This window comes from Homo sapiens, chromosome X (genome assembly GCF_000001405.40).
Source record: "Homo sapiens chromosome X, GRCh38.p14 Primary Assembly".
NCBI classification, from domain to species: Eukaryota; Metazoa; Chordata; class Mammalia; order Primates; family Hominidae; genus Homo; species Homo sapiens.
In genome coordinates, this window is record NC_000023.11 from 103,530,650 (window position 1) to 103,557,667 (window position 27,018).

Here is a 27,018-nt window from a genome sequence, read left to right on the forward strand (position 1 = left end):
TCTGTGTGCCTCACCATTACTCTACCACACAGCAATGAAGCTCCCACATAACAGAAATATGCACTTTCTAAGGGAGGCTAGCAGGAGAAGTGACTTACCCCTCAGTCAAGAATGTCCCAGAGTTACTGGTTTGGGTTTGGTGCCAGGATGCAGAGAGATCTCCAGTATCTCTTGCTCCAGTGTCCTGTCCAGCAGACATAGTATAAGGTTTTCATCAAGCCCCTCAGGAGCGCAAAGGAAACATATTTCTGTCATATACAACAGGGTGGGGGGAAAATAGGAGGTAGGAAAAACTATGAAACAGTAAGAAATGGGGTGAGTGATGACTTCATCCCTGTACCCCAAACTCCACTCATGGGGTCCATGACTCAGTTGGATGGAGATGGTAGAACCGCTTTCTTCCCTTCCCCCAGGCCCAGCAGGGTGCTCATTCCACCACATAGAAATGACAGTGACTCACAGTGAAATTAGAAACATGTGTTTTCCTTCTTCTCTCCATATGCTCTCTCGATACAGGAAAAATAGTTACTGTACACTGGAGAAACATGACAAACACCATCCTTAACCAAATGATGAAGGTTAACATCACCAGTGACATCATGCAGGCATCGTATACTCCCAGATATGATGCGACAAGAAGGGCACCGGAACTAGTGGTATTCCTTCTCAAAATCTGTAACCACAGTCAAATCACAAGAGAAGCAACAGACTGAGCCTGTACTCCTCAAGACTGTCAGGGTTATGAAAGTCGTCTGGCAGTTCCTCAGATGAATAAACAGAGATTTACCATATGACCCAGAAATCCCAATCCTAGGTACATAGCCAAGAAAAATGAAAACCTATGTCTACATAAAAACTCGTACATAAACGTATATAACATCATCACTCATAACAGGCAAAAAGCAGAAATCATCTAAATGACCATCAATAGACAGATGGATAAACAAAATGTGGTATATCCTTAGAATAGAATATTATTCAGCCTTTAAAAAATGAATGAATTCTGCTACATGCTACAATACACATGAACCCTAAAAACATCATGCTAAGTGAAAGATGCAAAAGACCAAATACGGCATGATTCCATTTATATGAATGTCCAGGATGAACAAATCCACAGACACACAAAGCATAACTGTGGTTCCAAGAGCTGAGGATAGGTGCAGGTTTAACTGCATTGAAGCACAATGGGAGTTTTGGGGACAATTGAAATTTCTGAAACTCAATTATGGTGATGGTTGTACAACTCTATACATTTAATAAAAATCACCAACCTTAAAATGAATGGGTTCCATTGTCTATAAATAATATTGCAAGAAATTTGTTTAAAAAATATTGGCCAAGGCTTCTATTGTACCACAGGAATGACCAAAATTTTTCATAAAAAGGCCTTGATGCACATGTCTTATATAAACACGAATGTACATAAAGCTGTAGCTGTATCCCAGCCCTGACTCTACGTCCTGTGTTCCTCCAATGACCTTTCCCCCACCCCACATGCTACCTGAAGTCTAATTCAGGTCTGATCATTTTCATGTCTTCCAAATGTTGGGATGGCTTGAGAGTGGGACCACAACAGGGTCCCGGGCCTTCCCTCTGTGACAGGATGCCAGCATTATTACTTTCCTCACCCCTCTCCAAACTTTTTCACATTGTTCCACTTTGGGGAGCCTAAATGGCACAACATTCTGGGTGTCAGCATGACAATACTTATCAAAAGGTTACATAGGTGCATACACTAAGCACCAACAATTTCCTTTTTAAAAGTTTAACTTCAGGATGTAGTGAAGGATGTTGATAAGGGTCTGGTTATAAGGACTGCCATCCTAACAATACCCTCTCTTCACTGCTAGACCTGAATTTAGAAAGGGAGACCAAACAGGATGCAAAACCATGAAGAGGCAGAAGGAAGCAGAGGCAAGTGTGGTTGTCAGCACACACACACTTGCACACATTCACACACACTCCCCCACATTCATGCGCTAATTGGGTTCTATTATCACAATACTAGAATTTTTCTAAGACAGTTTGCTGTGTTCCAAGAGGACACATTCAGCTCAGTGCAAACAGCCACAGGAACTGTGCCCTTCAGCAGAGCACAGACCTTGAAAAGATGCCAGTGTAGATTAAAGGAAATATCAGGACACTCTGAATAACATAGGGTTGTGAAAATTGATTATGTCACATCCATAGGATGGAATTCTAGGAGGCAGTAAAAATAAGTTATAATGAAAACAATGATGAGAGATGATTTCTTGCCTAACCAGTTATCAATAATCAACATTATTTCCAGTGTGTGAGCAGACACTTTCATACCATATTAGTAGGAATATATATGAGTAATAATGTTATCATGTATTGTGTTAATATAAAACTTTATAGATTTCATAATAAAAGAGCATTTTGACAATCTCATAAAGAAATTCTTACAAATACATTTGCATATATGTGAGCAAGGATGTTATGTTTGCTACTGTTTATAATAAAACATGGTAAAGGAACTACATTTTTATCTCAAAGTGAAATAAATGTGGTACCATCCATAAGATGAAACATCCAGTTGATGGCAAAAATAAAAACTAAAATTATGTTGTAAAGTAATTTAAAATGTTATGGTAGACATGTATTTTCATGGAAAAATTGTCATAATAAAGTCAAAGGCAGGTTACAAAGATCATAAGTAGCCAGGATCCATTTTTGCTCATATCCATCTACAGCTATTTTTGCAGAGGACTCAAAGCATACAAATAAAAATAATATTTTTCTTGCTCCCACATAAAGCCTTCTCCTCAGCATAGTGAGAGGCTGCACTTTGTTTGGAGGCCATAAATATTCTTTTAGCCTGGAATTGCTCCATTTTCCATCCAGACTTCCAGAAAACTCCATAGAGTGGGCTTGGGCCAAACTGCTCCTTCCCACCTTCCTGCTCAGACGTAAAAGCTGCAGTTCAGGCTTCTGTCACGAGGGGGCACCAACGTACCTTCATAATCAAACCTCTACAAAGACGTTTACGCAATGAGCGAAAAAATAAAATACCCTCCACTAAAACCCAGTCTATGAACCTATGGACAGAATGATTCTAATTCTTCCAGAAAAAAATTGATAGGTGTAAAAGAACACTGCAAAAACATGTACTCCATGGCGTCTATACAATGAAACACCACGTACGAGGAGCGAGCCTTGGCAGTCCTTAGCAGGCTGGTGTAGCGCAAACCAGGGCAGCGGGAGGTGAGTGGAAGAGAATGGGGGCACTGGAATGGGGTCTGGACGGCTGTGTCCATAGCGTCCCGGAGAGGGCATGCCTGAGAGGAGGTCTGGGAAGCCTGTTCAGGTGTGGGGTAATGGAGAGTGAACAACCTACACCCTGGGAGGGACCACTCTACAGTATGGACACCTCAAACTGCACTAACAAAGGAAGAAATAAATCAATGAATGAGATGTGGATTTAGGGTCAACAGCAAATGGACCTGCTTTAATATACATGTGAATTTTCCAAAGAAAACTTACAGTAAACAAACAATTCCAAGACATTTGCCACTCTTTGAAAAATGTACTCTTTTTCATTAGAAAAAGGAAAATAATAATGGAGTTAGATATCACGTCGGGCCAGAGTCAGGATTGCAGCTCTGAGAGTTTCAGACTAGGGGGTTCATCAACTGGGAGGGACAGATGGAGGTTAGGAGCTTGGCTGAAAACTTCAGTATCAGCCAAAGTTTTCTGGAATTATTCACCTAATGGTAGCAATCTCCCTGTATCTTTCATTTTCCTGTATATCTAAAAGCAAGATTAGTTCTAGACCACCAACCTCTAAATTGAAGGTAAAACTGTACCTGTCAGTGTGTATTTGGAGTAATTTAGCTGGAGGAGACACAGATACAAACACACACACATGTAGAAACACAGTCAATTCGATTTTTATCTATTTTGTTTCACTATAAAATCGAATACATTGAATGTTTTCACAAATTAGTGAATACATGTATACAATTCTTTTGTCAGTCTCTTCATAAGGATTTTTTGTGTTCAAGTTTTTATCAAAATACTCTTCTCCTTAATATAAAGTTTCAAAAAATATGCAAAATTATACTCAAAAATAGGAATTTTATCCTGCATCTCTCACAGACCTGACTCCTGCCCCCTGACCCCAAAAGGTCTGCTGTCCCTAGGATGGCACATACTCTCCAGACGTGTCCCTGTGAGATGCACATAAACGCGTTCACCACCCCCCCCCACACACACACATTGTCTTCTCCAAAAGTGCAATCACAGTTCTCATCTTGTCATTTCCACTTATTATAATTTATCAGGATTTTAAAATATTTGCATCTTATTAGTTCTTGTGGTTTTTGCATATTTAATATGTTTATTGTCCATGTATATACTTATTTGAATTTTCTGTTGAAATCATTGCCAATTGTTTTGTTAATGAGTATGTTTCACAAATCACAGACACCAACCCAACATCTGAGACGTAGTTTGAAAATGTTTTCTCCCCTGTTTTAATACAATGGTTACTGGGTTTTTATCTTTCACTTGGAAAATGTTTTAAATTTCCATAATGGGACTTAATAATTATACATGTCATAATTGAAAAACAAAAAACATTCCAAAACACCTGGGGAGCACGTACTGTCAGCCTGGAGGGAGATTAGAGCATTCAGAAACCTGGAGGCATCAAGAGAAAATGATAAATCTTTAGAGTATTCCAGAGTTAGCTGCTGGTCAGGAGATAACAAAGTTTCTCCTGGATTGCAAAAACTCCCCTAAAGGCAGCACCCTGATCTGAATAATGGTCATAATAATGGGTACCTTGGATAGCAGTTAAGATTAAAGGAGGCTAGTTAAGGTGGTTCATGCCTGTAATCCCAGTGCTTTGGGATACCATGGAGGGAGGATCTCTTGAGGCCAGGAATTCAAGACAAGCCTGGGCAACATAGCAAGACCTTGTCTCTACCAAAAAAAGAAAAAAAAAAAGATTAAAGCAGATAAAATATAAAGTGCATTGGCTTACAGTAGTTCAGTGCATGTTACTTTCCTTCCCTCCAGCTCTCCTCTCCCAAGGCCAACACCTGAGCTTCTGCCTGAGCCCACTCGCCACCTCAGGGATCAGCCAACTCATGTGGCCCTACACCCAGGTCTCTTGGTACAAAGGACAAGATTTCATCTCCTCTGTCATCTTCATCACCCAGAGGGGTTGTGGAGTGGAGGACCCGTGGGGCCACAATAGCAGGGGAGTGGAATTTGGCCATTTTTCAAGCCCTGGAAGCCCATCTTCTAGAAGGGAAGCTGCCCAGGGTCCTCTAGGGAGGGCGAAGGATGGAACCTCATTCCAATCCTGCCACTTACCTGGGGAGATGACTTAGACTCTGTGAGCCTGAGTTAGTCATCTGTGAAATGGGACTGACCATACCATCCTTACAGAGCTGTCCTGAGGGGTTAATGAGAAAACCTGTGGAGAATATATAGCATGGAGTGGGACTTCAATGGCCCTTTAAATGCTGAGACACAGAAGTGGGGGCTGGCTGAGCCTCAGGGCTAAGGCAGGCATTGTAAAAAGTTATTTTTCATTGTTTCTCTCCTAATGAGAACACAGACATCCATATAAGGAAAGCAAATCTCTCTCTGATATGCCTTGAGTTCAAAGTTTTAGAGACAGAATGTTCTCTACATTCTTGGGTGTTTTCTAATCTCATAAAAGCTGTTCAGCATCATGCCTCTGAGCAGACCCAAATCCACTTCCCCATACTCAGAAGGAAAAAAAAATGATAGGGGTAAAAAACAAGACTGTAAAAACATATGCTCCAGGAAATCCATGCCATGAAACACCAGGTAGCTCTAGTGCATCTTGGCAGTCACCAGTCGTCATTGGTCAGTGCAGGGCAGGCAGGAGGTGGCTGAGAGTGGATGGGTCACTGATATAGGACCTGGGCAGCTTGTTCATAGTGTCCAGGAGAGAAGATGACTGAGAGGGGTTGGGAGAAGGCCTGGGAAGCCTGTACAGGGGTGCAGTAATGAAGAATGCAACACCCTGCTCTCTGGGAGGAACCTATCCACTTTATGGACACCTCAACCTACACCGTGGAGGGAAGAGATAAATTAATGAATATGATGTAGATTTGGGGTCAACAGCAAATGGACCTGCTTTAATATGTGAATTTTCCAAATAGAACTGGTGTCAGAGTAAACAAATCACTTCATAACATTTGTTACTCTTAGCAAAATGTACTCCCTTTTCATTAATAAAAGAACAAAAGACATGGAGATAGCTGTGATGCCTCCTGGTAGCCAAAGACAGGATTGCAGCATTGAGAGTCAGACCAGAGGCTCAGCAGGGAAGGGAGAGGGATTGAGGTTGGAAGTTAGCTTCACTATATCAGCCAGAGGTTTTTTTGAATTATTGATCTAATGATAGCAGTCTCCTTGTATTCATCATGTTCTAGGATATATAAAACTCAGATTGGTTGCAGCTCCCATCTGAATTAAAGATAATGCTACATCTGTGAGTGTGTATATGGGGTGACAGAGCTAGAGGACACACACACACACACAGATTCAATTAAATTTTTTATTTCTTTCATAATATAACACAATGAATTCTTTTTCAAATTAATGAAAATATGTGCATATTATCTTTGACAATCAGTTCAAAACTATCTTGTGTTCAAATTTTTATCAAAATATTTGTATTCCCAAATACTGAATTTTAAACAATATATGAGTACATTCATAAATTGAAATTAATCTGCACTCTCACTGGTCCAACTCCCACCCTTTGATTCCAAGGGGTCTACTGTCCCTAGGATGGTGCATACTCTCCAGATGTGCTCCTGTGAGGTGCACATGAACACATTCACACACACACGCGCACACACAAACACACACATATTGTCTGTTCCAAATGTGCAATCACGTCCTCATCTTTTGTATCTTGTTGTTTCCAATTATTATAAATTCTCAGGATTTTAAAATATTTGCATCTCATTAGTTCTTGTGGTTTCTGTGTTTTCTAATATTTATTGTTCACATATATACTTATTTGAATTATCTGTTGAAATTGTTGCCAATCATTTTGTTACTATGTTTCACAAATCACAGACACCAACCCAATATCTGAGATGTAGTTTGAAAATGTTTTCTCCCTTAATACAATTGTTACTGGTTTTTTATTTTTCATTTGGAAAGCATTTTAAATTTCCATAATGAGACTTAAAAAATTATACATGTCATAATTTAAAAAGAAAAAACTTTGGAAAATACCTGGGGAGCCCGTACTGTCAGCCAGGAGGGAGATTAGAGCATTCAGAGACCTGGAGGCATCAAGAGAAAATGATAAAACTTTAGAGTATTCCAGAGTTAGCAGCTGGTCAGGAGATAAAGTTTTCTCCTCGATTCACAAAAACTCCCCTAAAGGCAGCACCCTCATCTGAATAATGGGTACCTTGGATAGCAATTAAGATTCAAGGAGGCCAGGTGAGGTGGTACATGCCTGTAATCCCAGCACTTTGGAAGGCTGATGTGGGAGGATCACTTGAGGTCAGGAATTCAAGACAAGCCTGGGCAACATAGTGAGACACTGTTTCTACCAAAACAGACAAAAACAAAAAGATTAAAGGAGATGAAATATAGAGTGCATTTGCTTTCAGTAGTTCAGTGCATGTTACTTTCCTTCTCTCCTGCTCACCCGTCCCAAGGCCAACACCTGAGCTTCTGACTGAGCCCACTCACCACTTCAGGGATCAGCCAATTCATGCGGCCTAACAACCAGGTCTCTCAGCACAAGGGGCAGGATATCATCTCTCTGTCTTCTTCCTCACCCAGAGGGGCTGTGGAGTGAGGATGCATGAGGCCATAATAGCAGGGCAATGGAATCTGACCGTTTCTCAATCCCTGGATGCCCATCTTTTAAAAGGGAGGCTGCTCAGGGTCCTCTAGGGAGGGTGAGAGATGGAACCTCATTCCAGTCCTGCCACTTTAGGTGGTTTAGACTCTGTGAGTCTGAGCCTGATTATCTGTGAAATTGGACTGACCATACCATCCTTACAGAGCTGTCCTGAGGGGTTAATGAGAAAACCTCTTGAGAGTATATAGCAAGGAGTGGGACTTCAATGGCCCTTTAAATGCTGAGACACAGAAATGGGGGCTGGCTAAGCCTCAAGGCTAAGGCAGGCATTGTGAAAAGTTATTTTTCATTGTTTCTCTCCTAATGAGAACACAGACATCCATATAAGGAAGGCAAATCTCTCTCTGATATGCCTTGAGTTCAAAGTTTTAGAAACAGAATGTTCTCTACATTCTTGGGTGCTTCATAATCTCATAAAAGCTGGCCAACATCAGGCCTTTCAGCAGACCCAGTTCCCAATGCTGGGAACATGGGCATGTTTTTGAACTCACCTGGTGAGCTCAGATATCAATCACAGCAGAGAAGCAAGGTGTGGTATTTGCCTAAGGGCTGCTCCTGACTGCTCAGTATATGAATATATTTGCAGAAAAAAATGTGGCCCCATCCACAGTCATCAGTATAGGGGTCCTCAGATCATGCATTATCCAGCCACAGCACGCCAGAATTTCAGCTGCCTGCTGCCTCCCTGAGAGGTAAAAGTCCAAGAGTTATGAGCATTTCTTTCACACAGTTTTCCCACTTTTAATTACTAATAACTAAATCTGCATTGCACTCAAAGCCCATAGTATTCCAATGGAGGTGTCTCATTAACTCCATAATGAGATGGTAGTAGGGAAATAAATACGTGGGCAACTTCAAGGTTACATCTGAGATTAGAGAGCTCCTTTACATTAGTTTTTGAATGTACTTAAGTTTAAAGGAATTGAAGATTTTAAAATATCCCTCCTTAACCCCTTATTACCCATTCAGCAATAGGATATTTAATTCATTCTCTCTCTGTCTCTCCCTACCCCTCCTTCAAATTCAAGGTACCAAAAACAGTTCTCTACAGTCTCTGTTAACATCGTTCACTTTATTGACTCCTTATCCCCCTACCATGGCTTCTGTTCCTTGATTGCAACGAACAGGCTCTCCAAGATCACAAACCACCTTTTGTCACTAAGTCCAGTGTTTGCATAAATGTGTAACTATATTAAAATACTTAGTATTACTTTTAATGACCTCCTAAAATATGCTCACTGTGCAGACTGCTTTCACTTAACAAATTTGTGACAGCTTCCAGGCTCTGGAGCAACATGTACTGGACACAAATCCAAGCTGACCTACTCCTTAACTGTGTAGTCTTGGGCAAAGTCATTCTCTCTGTCCCTCAGTTTTTCGTCTATAAAACAGAGATTAGCCACAATATCTATCTCGTAAGGGAGCTATGAGCAGTGAATGACTCAATACATATAAAAATCACTTGGTACAAGAAATTTTAGTCAATTTAAAAATTTCTTTAATGTGTCACTGATATTACTATCTTTATAGCCATAACAATATAAGACATAGACTGGTGTTTATTTACAATTAATGACATTTTAGATATTATTGACATTTAGATATTGTTTAGATGTTGTTAGTGAGTATATTAGTTTCCTAGGGTTGCCACAACAAATTACCACAAAATTTGTGGCTTTAAACAGCAGAAATTTATTTTCTTACAGTTATGGAGACCAGAAGCCTGATGTCAAGGTTTTGACAGGGTCACACTCCCTATGAAGACTTGGGAGGATAATTTTTTTCTTGCCTCTTCCAGCTTCTGATGACTCATAGCTTTCCCTGGCTTATGGCAGCATAACTCCAATCTCTGCCTCCTTCTTCACATGAGCTTCTTTCCTGTGTATGTTAAACCTCCCCATCCTCTCTGTTACAAGGACACTAGTCATTAGATTTAGGGCCCACACTAAATCCAGAATCATCTCATCTTGAGATCCTAAATTATATGTGCAATGACTCTATTTCCAAATAATATCACATTCACAGGTACTAAGGGCTAAGGCTTGGACATATATTGTTGGAGGATATTATCCAACCCACTATATTGACACAGGCAGGTTAAAAAACTAAAATGAGATCTTATCTTTTTCATATAAATATATAAATGCATCCATACATGCATAAGCATATACATTCCTACATGAGAAAACTTCTAAGAAAATAATGCAGATGAAAACATTAGCAGGTCTTATCTTTAGGTGTTATGTTTGAGGAATGGTTATTTTATTTTATGTCCTATGTTTTCACTTTTTTAACTGTAATAAACACCTATTGGTCTTATAAATATACAAAAGGATAAAATCACTGGGAAACATAACCATTCTCTGCTCCACCTACAGCAAAGCCCCTCCACTCAGAATAGGAACGTCTTTTGAGAAACAGGAAGGGAGACAAGATGCTGGTCAGCCCCTTCCACAGTATTCCAGGACACATTTCCCCAAATTCCAAATCACATTCATTTTTTCAATATTTTAAATCTCTGCTTAGTCAAATGGGGGAAGACATAGTATCTTAATTTCATGTATTTTGCTTTATTCTGATAAATAATAAGGTTGGTGTTCTCATATGAGAGGCAGTGGCATATACTGATTACATGTAGGAGCTCAGGAGCCACACTGCCTGTGTTCAAATTGAAGTCTCAGCACTTGCTAGCCCTGCCCTCACTATGCCTCAGTTCCCTTATGTTTAAAGTCAGACAACAACAGTGCCTCATCATATAATGTGGTGAGGATTAAATGATTAAGTATATGTTTAGCACCTGCGACAGTATCAGGCATTGAGGAAATCACAATAAACATTAGCTATTATTATTATTATTATTATTATTATTATTATTATTATTATACCTGAATAGACCATTACTGTTTCTATGGCCATTTTTGTTATTATGTGGATTTATATTGATTGATATAGATTGACCTTCAAAATATGTTTTTCATAAAAAGGCAGTTTATAAAGCTGTAAGTAGGATATTATCTGATTTTTGTTTTAAGTATAGTTACATTTGCATAGTAAAACTTCTGGAAAAATGTTTATTTCTCTTAGTCCATTTTCTGATGCTATAACAGAATACCAGAGACTGGATAATTTATAAAGGAAAGAAATGTATTTCTCACTGTTCTGAAGGCTGGCAAGTCCAACAGCACAGTGCTGGCATCTGGCAAGGGTCATCCCATGATGGAAGTGTGGAAAGTAGAAGTGAGTGCAGAAGACAGAGGAAACCAGGCTGAAGTCATTCTTTTATTAGAAGCTTATTATCACAATAATGGCATTAATTCATTCATGAGGCTAGAGCTATCATAACCTAATCACCTCTCAAAGGCCCCACCTCTCCACACTGTTATAATGTCAATAAAATTTTAATATGAGTTTTGGAAGGGACATTCAAACCATAGCAATATTCAAAAGTTAACAGTTCTTATCCATGAGTAATAGAATTTTTAGGGTTTCTAATGATATTTTTCCTTTTGTGCATTTTCCAACAAAAGCATGTTAGGTTTGGAAGTGAGAAAAATAATCTAAAAAAAAAAAAAAAATCTCCAGTCCTTCCCATAGGAAAATGGCTTAGCATCAGAATGAGGAACATCCCTAAGCCAAAGGAACTAGGTAATATGGTTGTCACAAAACTAATGTATCAATCTATCCACATGATAGCTTCAGGAAAAGCTGAGCAGCATCAGGGAAATTACAGCCCCAACTGAGTAGCTTCAGCGACATTACAGATGCCCAGGGAAAGGAGAAGCATGTTTCTCAAATGAACCTTACATTTTGCTGTCAGACAATGTCTCTTCTTCCTAGGATTTTAGTGAAGGTCATGAAATGAAAATGAAATGAAAGTAGTTTCATAACATGCTTGATACAGTTTGGATATTTGTCTCCTCCAAATCTCAAGTTGAAATGTGATCTCCAATGCTCAAGGTGGGGCCTGGTGGGAGGTGTTTAGGTCATGGGGGCAGATCCCTCATGAATGGCTTGGTGCTATCCTTGTGGTAATGAGTGAGTTTTGGCTCCATTAGTTACCATAAGATCTGATTGTTAAAAAGAGCCAGGCACCTCCTCTTTTCTCTATTGTTTCCTCTCTTGCCGTGTGACATGCCACCTCCCCTTGCCTTCTACCATGAGTAAAAGCTTCCAGAAACAGATGCTGGCACCATGTTTCTTGTACAGTCTGCAGAACTGTGAGCCAAATAAACTTCTTTTCTTTATGAATTACCTCGCCTTAGGTATTATTCCTTTATAGCAACTCAAAATGCACGAACACAATGTCTCTCTCTGTATTCTCCCAAATACATCCCCTTAAATTGAAAGTAGGCTCCTCTGTTTAGCCACCTAGTTAGCCAAGCAGTGACTTCCACAAGGGATGGAAACGGGGAGAGACTGCATGAAACCACCCAGGGCTCAGCATCACAGCCTCTGGAAGGGGAGAATCCTGACACAGTGGGTTCGGGGTACAAGTTGAGTCAGAGTCTCACTCAGCCCAGGGCCCAGGAACAATCAATATATGCACATTAAAACACTCTTAAAGTACTTTCCTTGTGCAATTAAAAATAATAAAAGGAATGGAAAAGATACACATGCCCAGCACTTATAACACAAAATCAGGTCAGGTTCTAAATGGGATGCATCCCTAAACCAACCAAGGGATTTGTGTAGTAGTGTGGACACATGAAAACTAAATTCCAGAAATCACTGCCTTTTTGCACCAAGATTTTCCAGATTAGGTTCCAGATGTACAAGTATAACAATGTAATGAGTAATAGTGTAAATGAAAGATGGAAAACTAAGCATGGACAAATGGAAAGATGTTTCATGTTCATTACTTGGGGCTAGATGGCACCTGGGAAACTCTAAGACTTTGGACACTTTAGATTTAAAAAGTGACAGCAAATATTATCTGCAGATTCTGTTAGTGCTCCCTGCAGCATATAAACTGAGAAAATGGGTATGTGGAGGCTAAAGTTACTCTATCTTGGATGCTAATCTGCCATATTTACTTCTGATTAACCTCAGTTCCAGGAAAGCCTCTAAAATTTTCCAGTTTATCTATTGTTCCTTGTGTAAGAGTACATATTTACCATAATTCTTGCCCTTAGGTCAAAACAATCTTGATGTTATTGTACTTCAATTTTCCTACACATTTCTTCTTAATCATGTATACCCTTTCCTTATGATATGTAAGCCCTGGATTTGGAGGGTAATTAGGTGGGAATCCACCATCTTGTCTCACCACTGTCTGAGGCACAGACATAGCTTCTGTTTGTTAGTCCCTATTACATGTTTCTTTCTAAGAAACTGGATTTATCAGCCTCTTTCTTTGGCCTCTCAGCTTCCTTGGACTTTGGGGGGTAGGTTTTCCTAGACCTGTCCACCACAGAACACGGTGTGCCTGTTTGAGCAAGTCTGAAAGAAGATACACATAACAAGGAGGCATATATGGCAGGTCCCACTGATGAGATGTGAACATGTGTTTGTTCTCATAATTATTTTTTCCTTCTTTTCCATGAAGTAGGCATCTATAGATAAAATCATGCAACAAAAGAATATCATATTTTACTTTAGGAGGAACTATAAAGAAAAGTCTCAAAAATTAAAAAAAAAAAACTGACCAAGATGGTGGAGTAGGAGATATCAGCCTTCATCCCCCAACAAAAACAAATACAAACATCTATTCACAAACCAAAATAGACCAGAAAGGGCTCAAGGGTCCAGTAAAAAGTCTGCAGCAGCACAATGGAGAAAAAAAAGGAGATTACCCACAGAGAAAGTATTTCTGGTGAGAACAGCATACTTGAGACACCAGGAGACAGCTATGAGCAAAGAAGAAAGGTGCCATGTCATCCATGCACAGGGAACTGTCGTGGTACCCAGAGGAGTGCTCCACAGAGGACACCAGTATCCCTTGCCACTGAGGTAACCAGCAGCCATTCCTACCAGGGAAATCCAGAGAGGGAGACACAGCTGCATACCTCTCCCTCTCCACAAGAAGTGGCCACCCCATTGAGCTGCTTCAGGAAAGGAACCACCACCTCTTCCAACCCTGAGCATTCCTTAACATAGAGCCATAACCTCTTTGCGAGTGATCACACTCCAGACCCAGGCTCTGTGGCTACACTGGGCCCACTGATGACTCAGACACCAGAGCCATTGCCATAATGAGCTAGTCCACACTCCAGGCTCAAGAACCAAGTCCTCGCTATGCATGACCCAACCCAAGGTGCTAGCTCAGATGCCACAGAGAACGAGACCTTCCCCTAATGACAGAGTCTGTCTTTGTGTGCATCTGTGCTCCCATTCTTGGCTCTCTAGCTACTTCATGAGAATTTTCACCTTACATATTGCCATAACACAACAGCAGGAGTGCCAGCACCCCAGACATCAGGTACATTACTGCACCGAATACCAGAGCCATAGTCCTTTCATGCATACCTGTGCTTTGTACCTCAGCAGAATATACATTCTTCTCAAGCACATATGGAATATTCTGGAGGATAGATCATATGTTAGGCAACAAAAGAAGTCCTAACAAATTCAACATTAAAATAATACCAAGTGTATTTTTTACCACAATAGTATAAAACTAGAAATCAATAGCAGAAGGAATTTCAGAAATTTTATAAAAATATGGAAATTAAACAACATTGTCCTAAACAAGCAATTAAAATTGCTTGTTTTAGTAAAGAAATTAAAAGGGAAATTTTAAAATACCTTGAGACAAATAGAAATGGAAACACACCAAAATGGAAACATACCAAAACTTATGAGTTGTGGCAGTATCAGTTCTAAGGGAGAAGTTTATAGCAATTAATGTCTACATCAAAAGAGAAGAAGATTCCAAATAAACCACCTAATGTTATACATCAAGGAACTAGAAAAATAAAAAAAAAACTAAGCCCAAAGTTAGTAGAGGGAATGAAATCATAAAGACCAGATCAGAAATAACTGAAATAGAGATGAGAAAAACGATAGAAAAGATCAACAGCAAGAGTGGATTTTATGAAAAGATTAAACAAAATTCAACAAAACTTTAGCAAGACTAACAAAGTAAAAAAGACAGATGGCTCAGATAAATAAAATTAGAAATGGGCCCGGTGTGGTGGCTCATGCCTGTAATCCCAGCACATAGGGAGGCTGAGGCGGGCATATAGCTTGAAGCCAGGAGTTCAAGATCAGCCTGCTCAACATGGCAAAATTCCGTCTCCATAAAAAATACAAAAATTAGCTGGCGTGATGGTGCACGCCTGTAATCCCTTGAGAGACTACTTGAGAGGCTGAGGCATGAGAATCACTTGAACCCGGGAGGTGGAGATTGCAGTGAGCCGAGATCGCGCCATTGCACTCCAGCCTGGGTGACAGAGCAAGACTCTGTCTCGGGGAAAAAAAAAAAAAAAAAAAATATATATATATATATATATATATATATATATCAGAAATGAAAGAGGAGATATTACAACTGACATCACAGAAATACAAAGGCTCATAAAAGACTACCTCAAAAGAGAAGAAGAACAGTGTGAAGAGAAGTGAACAGCTATATGGCAAAAAATTGGGTAACCTGGAAGAAGTGGATAAATTCCTAGATGCATACATCCTACCAAGACTAAACAATGAAAAAGTAGAAAATATGAAAATATGAACTGACCAACAAGGGGATTGAATCAGTAATAAAAAGTATCCCATCAAAGAACAGCCCAGGACCTGATGGTTCACTGCTAATTTTTACCAAACTTTTAAAGAACTAATACCAATTCTTCTCAAACTCTTCCCAAAAATTAAAGAGGAGGGAATACTTCCAAATTCATTTTACAAGGCCAGTATCACCCTGGTAACAAAGCCAGACAAGGACACTACAAGAAAAGAAAATTGCAGGCCAATATTCTTGATGAACATAGATGCAAACATCCTCAATAAAATACTGGCAAACCAAATTAAATAGCACATTAAAAAGATCATTCAACATGATCACGTGGGATTCATACCTGGGATGCAAGGGTGACTCAATATATCCAAATCTATAAATGGCATTAATGGAATTAACAACAAAAACCATATGTTCATCTCAATAGATGAATAAAAGGCATTCAGCAAAATTCAACATCCTTTCAGGATAAAAACTCTCAGCAAATTAGGTATATAAGAAATGAGCCTCAACATACAGACACAAAACCCATATCTGACAAGACCACAGCTAACATTATATTCAATGGTGAAAAGCTGAAAGCTTCCTTTAAGATCAGTACCAAAGTAAGGATGTCCACTCTCACCACGTCTATTCAACTTAACACTGGACATCCTAGCCAGAGAAATTAGGCAAGAAAATGAAATGAAAAGCATCTAAATCAGAAAAGAATAAGTTAAATTATCTGTTTGCACATGACATGATTTTCTACGTATAAAACCCTAAAGACTCCACCAAAAACTGTTGGAATTGATGAATGAATTCAGTAAAACTGTGGATACAAAATGAACATAGAAAAATCAGCTGTGTTTCTATACTCCAACAACAAACTATGTGAAAAAGAAGTCAATCCCATTTACGATAGAATCAGAAAGAATAAAATACTTAGGATTAAATCTAACCAAGTAGGTGAAAGATCTATTTCACATTGGATAATTTGACCAAGGAGGTGATGCAATCCCTATCAAAACTCCCATGACTTTTTTCATAGAAAAAGAAAACACAATCCTAAAATTTATAAGAAACCACAAAAGACCCTGAATAGCAAAAGCAACCTTGAGAAAGAAGAACAAAGCAGGAAGCATCACATTCCCTGATTGCAAACTATAGGACAAAGATATAGTAATCAAAACAGCATGGTACTGGCATAATAAAAACAGTCACATAGACTAATAGAACAGAGTATAGCCGAGAAATAAGTTCACACATACAGGGTCAACTAATCTTTGACAAGGGCACCAAGAATACACAATGATGAAAGGAATGTGTCTTCAATAAATAGTGTTGGGAAAACTGAATATCCACATGCAAAAAAAAATGAAATTGGACCATTGTTTCATACCATATTCAAAAATTAATTCAAATGCATTAAAGACTTAAACATAAAATCTGAATCCGTAAACCTCCCAGAAGATGACATAGGGAAAAAGCTCCTTGACATGGGTCTTGGCAATTTTTTTTTGATATGACTCCAAAAGCAAAGGCAACTAAAGCAAAAATAAACAAGTAGAATTACATCAAACTAAAAAATTTCTGCATGGCAAAGGAAACAACAAAATGAAAAGGCAACCTATGGGATGAGAGAGAATATCTGCAAACCACATAGCTGATAAAGAGTTAACATCCAAAACATGTAAGGAACTCACACCATGCAATAGGAAAAAAAAAAAAAACCCAAACAACTCAATAAAAAATAGCAAAGAACCTGAATTGGTACTTTCCAAAGAAGATATAAAAATGGCCAACAGTATAGTGTAGGAAAAGGTGCTCAATATCACTAATCATAAGGAAATGCAAATCAAAATCACAGTGAGATATCACCACACAGCTGTAAGGATGGCTATTATCAAAAAGACAAGAGGTAACAGGTGTTACCAAGTATGTAAAGAAAAGGGAACTTTTGTACACTGTTGCTGGGAAAGTAACTTGGTACAGCCATTATGGAAAACAGTATGGAGATTCTTCAAAAAATTAAAAATTGAACTACCATACAATACAGCAATCCCATTTCAAGGTATATATTCAAAGGAAATGAAATCAGTATCTTGAAGGAATATCTGCATTCCCATGTTCATTACAGCATTACTCAAAATAGCCAAAATATGGAATAAACGTAACTGTTTATCAGTGAATGAATGGATATAAAAAATGTGGTGTGTGTGTGTGTATATATAATATGTCACATAATATATACATATATATATTATTCGGCCATAAACAAGAAGGAAATACCGCCATTTGCAACAACATGGATGAACCTAGAAGACATTAGCAGTGAAATAAGTCAGACACAGAAAGAAAAATATTGCATGATCTCACTTACATGTAAAATCTTAAAAGGTCAAACTCATAGAAGCTGAATAGAGCAGTGGTTGCCAGAGGCTAGAAAGTCAGGGAAATAGGAAGGTGTTGATCAAAGGGCATAAATTTTCAGTTTTAAGATGAACAAGTTCTGGGAATCTAGAATAAAGCATGAGTGGTGATGGATGTGTTATAATTTGATTGTGATAATCATTACATAATGTATAGGTATGTCAAATCTTCACATTGTACAACTTAAATATGTAGAATCTTTGTTAATGAAATATTTTTTAAAAAATAAAGTTTAATAATATTATCACTACTTGGTGTTACATTTCCAGATATTCTCTCTGGTAATCATGCTATTATGCTTTTGTTTTTGTTTTTGTTTTTGTTTTTGTTTTTGAGACAGAGTCTCATTCTGTCAACTAGGCTGGAGTGCAGTGGCATGATATTGGCTCACTGCAACCTCTGCCTCCCAGGTTCAAGCAATCTTCCCACCTCAACCTTCCAAGTAGCTTGGATTACAGGAGTGCACCACCATGTCTGGCTAATTGGGTTTTGTTGTTGTTGTTGTTGTATTTTTAGTAGAGTTGGGGCTTCACCATGTTGGCCAGGCTGGTCTCGAACTCCTGACCTCAGGTGATCTACCCACCTCAGCCTCCCAAAGTGCTGGGATTACAGGCATGAGCCACTGTGCTACTATGTTAATGTCAGTAGCATTACAATGACAGAATGAAGGCAAGTGGGAATGGACAACTAAAATTTGTTTAAGGCCTACTAGATGCTACACATGTGGTAGGTTGTAATTTTCAGACTTTCACTCTTCAAATCATCAGAGCAATGCTCTGAGGTTGGCATCCTTTTTACCTATGGGGAGATAGGCTCAGAGAGCAAAATACATGCTCCAGGAATTCTAGGAAGGCATCAAATGGACTGAGGTCAACTTGAGGGGCTTCCACTGGCCAATTCTGGAATAATTTGAGCATCAAATAAATATTTATAATAACAAATGTTATATCTTTGAGCAAAACAGGAATCTATGAATCACAGTAATATAAATAAATAGCTGGGTGTGGTGGCTCACACCTGTAATCCCAGCACTTTGGGAGGCCGAGACAGGTGGATCACCTGCAGTCAGTAGTTCGAGACCAGCCTGGCCAACATGGGGAAACCCCGTCTCTACTAAACATACAAAAATTCACTGGGCATGGTGGCGGGTGCTTGTAATCCCAGCTACTCAGGAGGCTGAGGCAGGAGAATAATTTGAACCTAGGAGGCGGAGGTTGCAGTGAGCCAAGATCGCGCCATTGCACTCCAGCCTGGGCGACAAGAGCGAAACTCTGTCTCAAAAAAAAAAAAAAAAAAAAAAACCATATATATCTAACAGTCAAATGTCAATTAATAAATCTAAACAAAGTGACAGAATTATAAAAGCAACCCTGACAACTATCACAGTAGTAAATGATTCAAGCAAGAATCGTAAATAGATTTTCATTCTGCACCAAATCCCATAGCAATCACTGAGTCACCATGGTAACCATGCTGGCCAGGGAAAGCTGGGAGGAAAAAACAAAACAAAACAAAAAACCAACCACCTCCTCGATCTTATTCCTAACATGTGCTAAGAACTGAATAGGACTGACATGATGCACAGTAATTAACCTCAATTTTTTCTCACAATAAACATTCCCGGCAGCTTCAGCAATATACACCTTCATACATACCTAGATACCCACATACATACATGCTCTCTCCCTCTTTTTCTCATCACCCAAGTATCCAAGAATTCATCAAGGTAGATTTGTTTGGGAGTATAAAAAGAAAACTCCACAATTAAAATCTACCCACACACAAAGTCAAGAGCTACAAAACTATTTTATTTTAGTAATTCATTTTTCTGGAGATGATCTTTAGAAAAATGTCTCAGTGACATTTTCTCCCTGGTTTCAGTATATTACCAATGACTTATAAAAGCTGATAGTGGAAACACTGGCAAATGTATGCTGTGATGACTAATTTTATGTGTCAACTTGGCTGGGTCATAATGCCCAGATATTTGGTCAAACGTTATTTTGGATGTTTCTGTGAGGGTGTTTTTGGATGAAATTTACATTTAAATTGGCAGACTAAGTAAAGCAGATTGCCCTCCCCAGTGTGGGTGGGCCTCATCCAGTCAGCTGGAGTCCTAAATAGAATAAAAAGCTGATATCCTCCAAAGAAGAGGGAATTCTGCCAGCTCACTCTTCAGATTTCATCTGTAATATTGGCTCTTCCTGGTTTATCAGTACACCGCCTTTGGACTTTAACTTCAACTCTTTCCTGAGTCTGAAGCCTGCTGGACTCCCCCATCAAATTTTGGACTCACCAAGCGTCCAAAATCACATACACCAGTTCCTTAAAATAAATATCTTTATATGTATATATATAAAGATACATATATAAAGATATATGGATATATAGATATCTTATTGGTTCTATTTCTCTGGAGAACCTTGACTAATACAGACATTAAGTATTAAGCATCTTTTCTATCCTAGAGTAGCCTGTGCTTTCAACCAAAAAGGTTCCCCAGCAGCTAGTATTAAACACTCAGCTTCTGACAATTCAGTAAAAATATAATACATTGAAATTGCAATTGAAAATACTACCATTAGGCCAGGCATGGTGGCTCATGCCTATAATACCGGCACTTTGGGAGGCCAAGGTGGGAGGATTGCTTGGGACCAGGAGTTTGGGACCCACCTGGACAACAAAGCAAGACCCTACCTCTATTAAAAAAATTTTTTTTAATTTTTTAATTAGCCAGGCATGGTGGCATGCACTTGTGGTCCCACCTGCTCGGTAGGCTGAGATGGGTGGATCACTTGAGCCCAGAAGCCCAAAGCTATAGTGAGCTGTGATCATACCACTGCACTCTAGCCTAAAAAAAGAAATACTGCCATTTATAATAGCATCAAAAAGTGTAAAATACCTGAGGATAATCTGTCCACATGTGTGCAAGGCCTGTACATTGAACACCACAAAACATTGAGGAGAGAAGTTAAAGAAGACCTAAATAAATGGAGAGAAATGCCATCATCATGAGTCAGAACACTCAGTATTGTTAAGATATCTACTCTCCTCAAACTGATGTATAGATTCTATGCAACTCCAATAGAAATGTTAGCATATATTTTTAAGAAGAAATCAATAAACTTATTCCAGAAATCATGTGGAAATGCAAATGACCCTAAACTATGAAAAACAACATTGTAAAAGAACAAAGTTGGAGGAAAAACACTACCTAATTTAAGCTTCATTATAAACTTACATTAACCAAAACAGTGCACTATTGCCTTCAAGGAAGAAATGTATATCAAAGGAACAAAGTATAGAGTCCAGAAATAGACCCACAAATATAAGGACAACTGATTTTTGACAACAATGCAAAGACAATTCAGTGCAGAAAGATCATCCTTTCAACAACTTGTGCTGGAACAGGTAGATAACAAAAATAAGCTTTTATCTATACACCACATCATAAAAAACTCAAAGTGGATCATAAAAGAAGATTTAAATTTAAAAGCTAGAACTATAAATTTTCAAGAAGAAAACACAAGAGAAAATTGTTGCAGTCTTGGCTTCAGAGAAGATTTCTTAGATATGACACAAACAGCAACATCCAAAGCATAACAAATTTGGAACTATTCATATATACAACAATATGGATAAATCTAAAAATAATTAGGTCAAATATGTAAAATAACATGAAATTTCAGGATTCCCAAATTCATCATGCCAAGGGAAAAGTTAAGCCTGGGAAATGAATTGTGCAACATTACCAACCTTTGTCCCCAGATAACTGTAATTTCACAACCCTGTGTCATAGCGTAATACATAATCCAGATTCCCACAACAGTAAAAGGCATTATACCTTCCCAGATGACCTTCCTCAAATATTGCTCACAAGGAAATTCCTTGCTAGCCCCTAAATCTTTCAGGATACATATCCCCCTATAAAACCAGCACATGCCAATTGTAACCTTAAGTCTGCAACCTAAGTTTAACTCCTAAAACTGAGTTTTGTTAAATCTTACACTGACAGTGTCAGTTACAAGCTTATCTTTCCAGAACAAAGACAAGATCAATCACTCTTCCACCTACCCTGAAACGAATACATAATTGACTCTTTCCTCTCTCTTTTCAAATCTTATCTTATGTAAAACTCAGATTTACTGACCGCTAATTAGAGCCTCACAAGAATGTAACCATTTGCCTCACTGCCTACCCTCTCTCCCTTTTTCCCTCTTGCTTGCTCTCTGCCCTTAAATACTGAGTTCCCAAACCCCTCTTTGTAAAGCACAAGTCAGAGATGCTCCTGTGACTTGCAGTTTTCCCAGGCATGTCCTCAAACTTTGGCTCAATAAACCTCTAGTGATTGAGACACTTGCCTCAGTCACTTTTTTTGGGGTTAACAAATGAATTAGGTCAGACAAAGGAGAATAAGCATCCTATGATTCCATTTACTTAAAAGGGCAAGAAACAAAAACTAATCTATGGTAAGAGGAGACCAGTGATTGTCCGGGAATGGGACAGGTTGGCATGGAGAGGGAAGCTAGAGACAGATGGAGAGGATTACAAAGGTGCATAAGGAAGCTTTTTGAGGTGATGAATATGTTCATTATCTTGACTATAATATTGGATTCACCAGAGAGAGCATACATATGTTAAAACTTATTAAACTATATATTTTAAACATGTACGGTATATCGTATGTCAACATGGCTCAAAGAAAGTATTTGAAATACATTTGTATAAGTTTTTGATGCAATTAAATCATCCAAAAGATTCCAACTACTACACTCTTGTTATATTACCAGATCATTACTATGTCTGATCAAATTGTTCTGCACTACATACAACCATAATAATCACTTGCAGTGTTTAAATATTTTTGGAAAAGTGGATGTTCATTTCTTTTTGAAGTACAAAAATAAAAATATTACATTCTAAGAAAATAATGATGATGATACTTAAGAGTAACTGTTTACTTTAGGGAACATGGCTTAGTATCATTATAATAGAGCGAATTCTAGGGTAATTCTTATTTCTGAAACTATTAAGGTATAGTAACTGACATTTTAACTAACACTTGCAAAATTTCTGGCTTAAAAAATCATTATAGGATGGAAAAATACCATGGTCACCAGGAGATAATTTATATAATTTATATTACAATCTCAAAATGCTAGAAAGACCTAACGACTGCATATTTCCATATCCATTTGAGAGATACATAGGAATCACTGATGATTATTTATATAGGCAGAAAAATATATGTAAATCTATAGCAAATGCATGTTAAACATCCAGTTGCTTCCCCAAATGAACTATTCATTGCTTTGTGACAATGAAAGGCATCTTTAACATGGGCCTCAGAAGCTACCACAAAGCACATAGCTGCTGATGGAAGGAAATTCCACCTGCTAAACCTCTTCTCCAATGATGAGATCAAAGGAATTTCTCTGCTTGTAGGCTATTTTATAAACCTCACAGAGCTATTCCACAACATGCTTCTGTCCAGATCTATGAGCTCACTTGAGCCAGGTGTCATATCCCACCAGGGATGGAAGTGTTGGGGGTCTCCTTAGTACTGCTGCCCTTCAAATCTGGAGTAGAAGCTTCAGCAGCCATCACGACCCTGATCCTCAAAACCTACCTTCTTCAGACACCTGATATGAGCTCAATCACCTGATGAAGAGCTGCACAGGGACAGAGAGAAGCCAGCAATCACTGTGCTTTCTTGGAGTAACTATGTGCCAGGCATTAAGCTAGGCACTGAGTCAGTGACCAGTGACAATAATACAACTGGGTAGTGATCATAACAACCAGAGATACAATGGGATTCTCACCAGGGCCTTTTTCTTCTCCTTTTCCCATCTGTCTCCCAATAACAAATTTGAAAAGGAATAAGAGGCCTGAATTCATACAGACATTCACCATCCTGCAATAACCACAGGGCTACCTACCGGCTTGCACCTGTATCACTGAAGCTTCCAGCAATCCTGTGGGTGAGCATTTTTATCCCCATTTCACAGAGGAAGACGCTAGGCTCAGAGAGAGTGTTTACCTGTCTCATTTTTTGGCACCTTGCCTTTACTTGGAAAGTAGCTCCGGGACACCCCTGGAGCAGGACACCACATTCACTGGGGCCAAGGGAGTCCTACTTCTCCCTGCCTCATCAGACAGCGAGGGCAACTTGTCCCAAAGCGGGAACAAGGCAACTTGGATATGGGATCTCTTCCTCTCTCTACATCGCAGAGCACCCGCAGCCACAGTTGAGTCTAAACACCTGAAGACGAAACCCTGCTCTCCTCACCAGGCCAAGTCGGTCTCCATTAAAAAGTCGTCATGGTTGTCACAGTCGCCAAAATGACGTCAGGTTACTATGGTAACCGCGATGCGCAGGCTTGTCCTCCACACCGAAAATGCTTCTGCACGACCCTCCCCTTCAAGCCTTCGCCTTTCCCTGGAAGCGAAACACCTTCATTCTTCAAGCCACCACCTGAGAAAATTTAATAGTAATAATTAGAGGAACTAGGCTGGGACCCAAGCAATTGGAGGAATTTTACAGGTTGTGGAAACAAAGCACGTCTCTGTTGTCAGGAATTTTACTTGCTTACAAGTGACAGTAGAGGAGTATCATCAGTACACAGAGACCCAGGGAGCCATTCTAAGGCTCTCGGTGATGAGATGGCCCTCTGAGGGGGAACAGGTACAACTCACAGATCATGCTAAGCAGACATCTGTGGCAGAAAACTAAGAGACTGCCTATAATCATGTGACTGAATGACCTAGAGACACCAAAATATGTCATTTAAGAAATCTCAGAGTTATTTCAAGGAATCAGGACAAGAATATTATACTTACTTAGTAGGCAGAAACTTATTCAATTGAATCATATACAGATGCTCTTCAACTTAGGATGGGGCTATATCCTGACAATCCTATCTTTAGGTTGAAAATATCATAATTCAAAAATGCATTTAATACATCACTAAACCTATTATAAAGTGGAAAAACCGTAAGTTGAACCACCATAAGTCAGGGACCGTTGGTATTGAGTTACCCTGGGAGATTCTTACCCTCCATTTCTGATATTTTCATCCATGTGGTGGGGCATCCATGACAAAAGCAATTCCATCCTCTCTGCACACTCACTCCTTCTCTATCACAGGAATCAGCTACTTGATTAGCAAGTTGAGAAGGAGAACCACGGGTTGCACAGCCAAGGCCCTTTCCCTTTAAAACTCTTGGTACGAAAGAAATAAGTTCTAATGTTTTATAGCAGAGAAGGGTGACTATAGTTAACAACAATGTATTACATATTTCAAAATAGCTAGAAGAAAGGACTTGAAATGTTCCCAACATATAGATATGATAAATACTCGAGGTGATGGATACCCTAAATACCCTGACTTGATCATTACATATTCTATGCATGTAACAAAATATCACATGTACCCCATAAACATGTACAATATTATGTATTAACTTTTTGAAAATGTGTTCTGCTCTGCCCTCAGGAGTGGGTCTTCCAATAGGCTCAAATCTCTCCTTCCATTTTCTGGGTCTCACTGGCTTCCCAACTGTTTCTATGATCTTGCTCCAAAATGCTCGGGTCTTTAAGCGGCCTCCAAAATAACTGCCACTCCAAGTTTGAGCTCTAAACCAACTAAGAGTTATGGCAAAAGCATAAGGAGAATAGTACATCAACTTTATTCCCTGTAAAGGTGAGATTGGAGAATGTGTCTTAGATGTGCTGGCATGTGGGCTTCCTATTAATGAGCTACAGAATTGGACAGACTTATCTACCCAGCAGGGCTATGCTGAGACAGCCACAAACGTCAAGAACTAAAATGCATATTCCATCTGCTATCTGCTGAAGGAGTCCTGCCTTTGTGTGCCCAAGGAAAGTGACTTCCTTGCTAAAGGCTATCTCTATAGGAGGAGAAAATATTCCAGGACACCTTCTTTGAGGAACATTTCTCAAAGTGAATAAACACCTCTCTGTTCTGATTGTATACTCACCAAGCAAACTTCTGAGGATATGGTTTTCCATATGGCCTGCAGAGCCATTTATGACAACACTTTCTTACTCCCTTAACAAGCATGATTACAGTGGAGGCTCACCTTATGGAAAAGGATTGGAATTGATTTCTAAATTCCAAGAGTAGAATGAAAATCATACATCAGAAAAATTTATCTTGGAAATCTCTTCAAGAAGGAATTGATGGAATGTTCAGAAGTTTATACTCACACATTAACCCACAGACAGACTATATCTAAAATTATAACAAAGTCCTACCAAGGCTTCTAGAATAAGGGAATACCTGTATTACCCAATGATAGAAAAAGTACACTCAAATGGCATGTTTTGAATATCCATTTCTGCTTAACCAAACACCCCAAAACAATAGCTACTTATCTCTCAGGATTCTGTGTGTTCACTGAGCTCTGCTGGTTGTTTTTTGCTCCATGTGGTGTCTGTCACCTGGGCTGTGGTCATGGAGGCTACACTTGGCTGGGATATCTGAGAGTGCTGACTCACATGAATGACAACTGGCGCAGGTGTGTGCTGGGAGCTCAGTGGTGGCTGTTGACTGTAGCCCTTTGGTTCTACTTCACAGAGTCCTCCATGTGTATGGTTGCCAGATTCAATTTATTCTAAGCCAGTTAAATTTGAATTTCAGATGAACAACAAATAATTTTTAGTCTGATGCAATATTGTTTTGTTTATCTGAAATTCAAATACAATTGGGTGTCCTGGATGTATGCTTATTTGTTAAATCTGGCAGCCCTAGGGGAGGAGAATGTTAATCTATAAGCTTAACGACCCTCTGGGATGACTCATGCAGTGGGGCAGATCTGGAAAAAATGAGCAGATTACATTGGCAATAAAGAAAATACCTGGTGCTGATGGTATGAAGGGGAAACAATCACATACAGTGTTGGTATCAAATGGGCATATCACTTTTCTGAGGCCCATATTATTATGGATTAATAACTTGAATGCCTTTTGATACAGAAGTCCTGTTTCCACCAACAAGTGACATTCAAC

General features: G+C 39.0%; 1 long non-coding RNA gene across 2 annotated transcripts, besides 2 other annotated features; it reads right to left on the bottom strand.

Annotated features, from left to right (window-relative positions):
* Positions 1-117: 117 nt before the first annotated feature.
* LINC02589 (long intergenic non-protein coding RNA 2589) lies at positions 118-24,304 on the bottom strand. 2 transcript variants are annotated; one of them, NR_131237.1, is made up of 6 exons: positions 24,277-24,304; positions 8,392-8,585; positions 7,487-7,579; positions 7,258-7,307; positions 461-535; positions 118-248 (listed from the first exon to the last, which is right to left on the bottom strand). It is a non-coding gene; the product is annotated as a long intergenic non-protein coding RNA 2589 (long non-coding RNA). The 2 variants fall into 2 exon arrangements; NR_131236.1 differs by lacking the exons at positions 461-535; positions 8,392-8,585 and having other exon boundaries at positions 23,927-24,304.
* Positions 3,018-3,087: an enhancer, noted in NCBI's record as "active region_29820". NCBI's record gives its function as "activates an Ori minimal core promoter by ATAC-STARR-seq in GM12878 lymphoblastoid cells {active_cell/tissue: GM12878}" and the evidence as "EXISTENCE:reporter gene assay evidence [ECO:0000049][PMID:35858748]".
* Positions 24,099-25,298: an enhancer, noted in NCBI's record as "BRD4-independent group 4 enhancer chrX:102809676-102810875 (GRCh37/hg19 assembly coordinates)". NCBI's record gives its function as "activates an origin of replication core promoter dependent on BRD2, P300/CBP, MED14 and CDK7 cofactors, and independent of BRD4, by STARR-seq in HCT116 cells {active_cell/tissue: HCT116}" and the evidence as "EXISTENCE:reporter gene assay evidence [ECO:0000049][PMID:35650434]".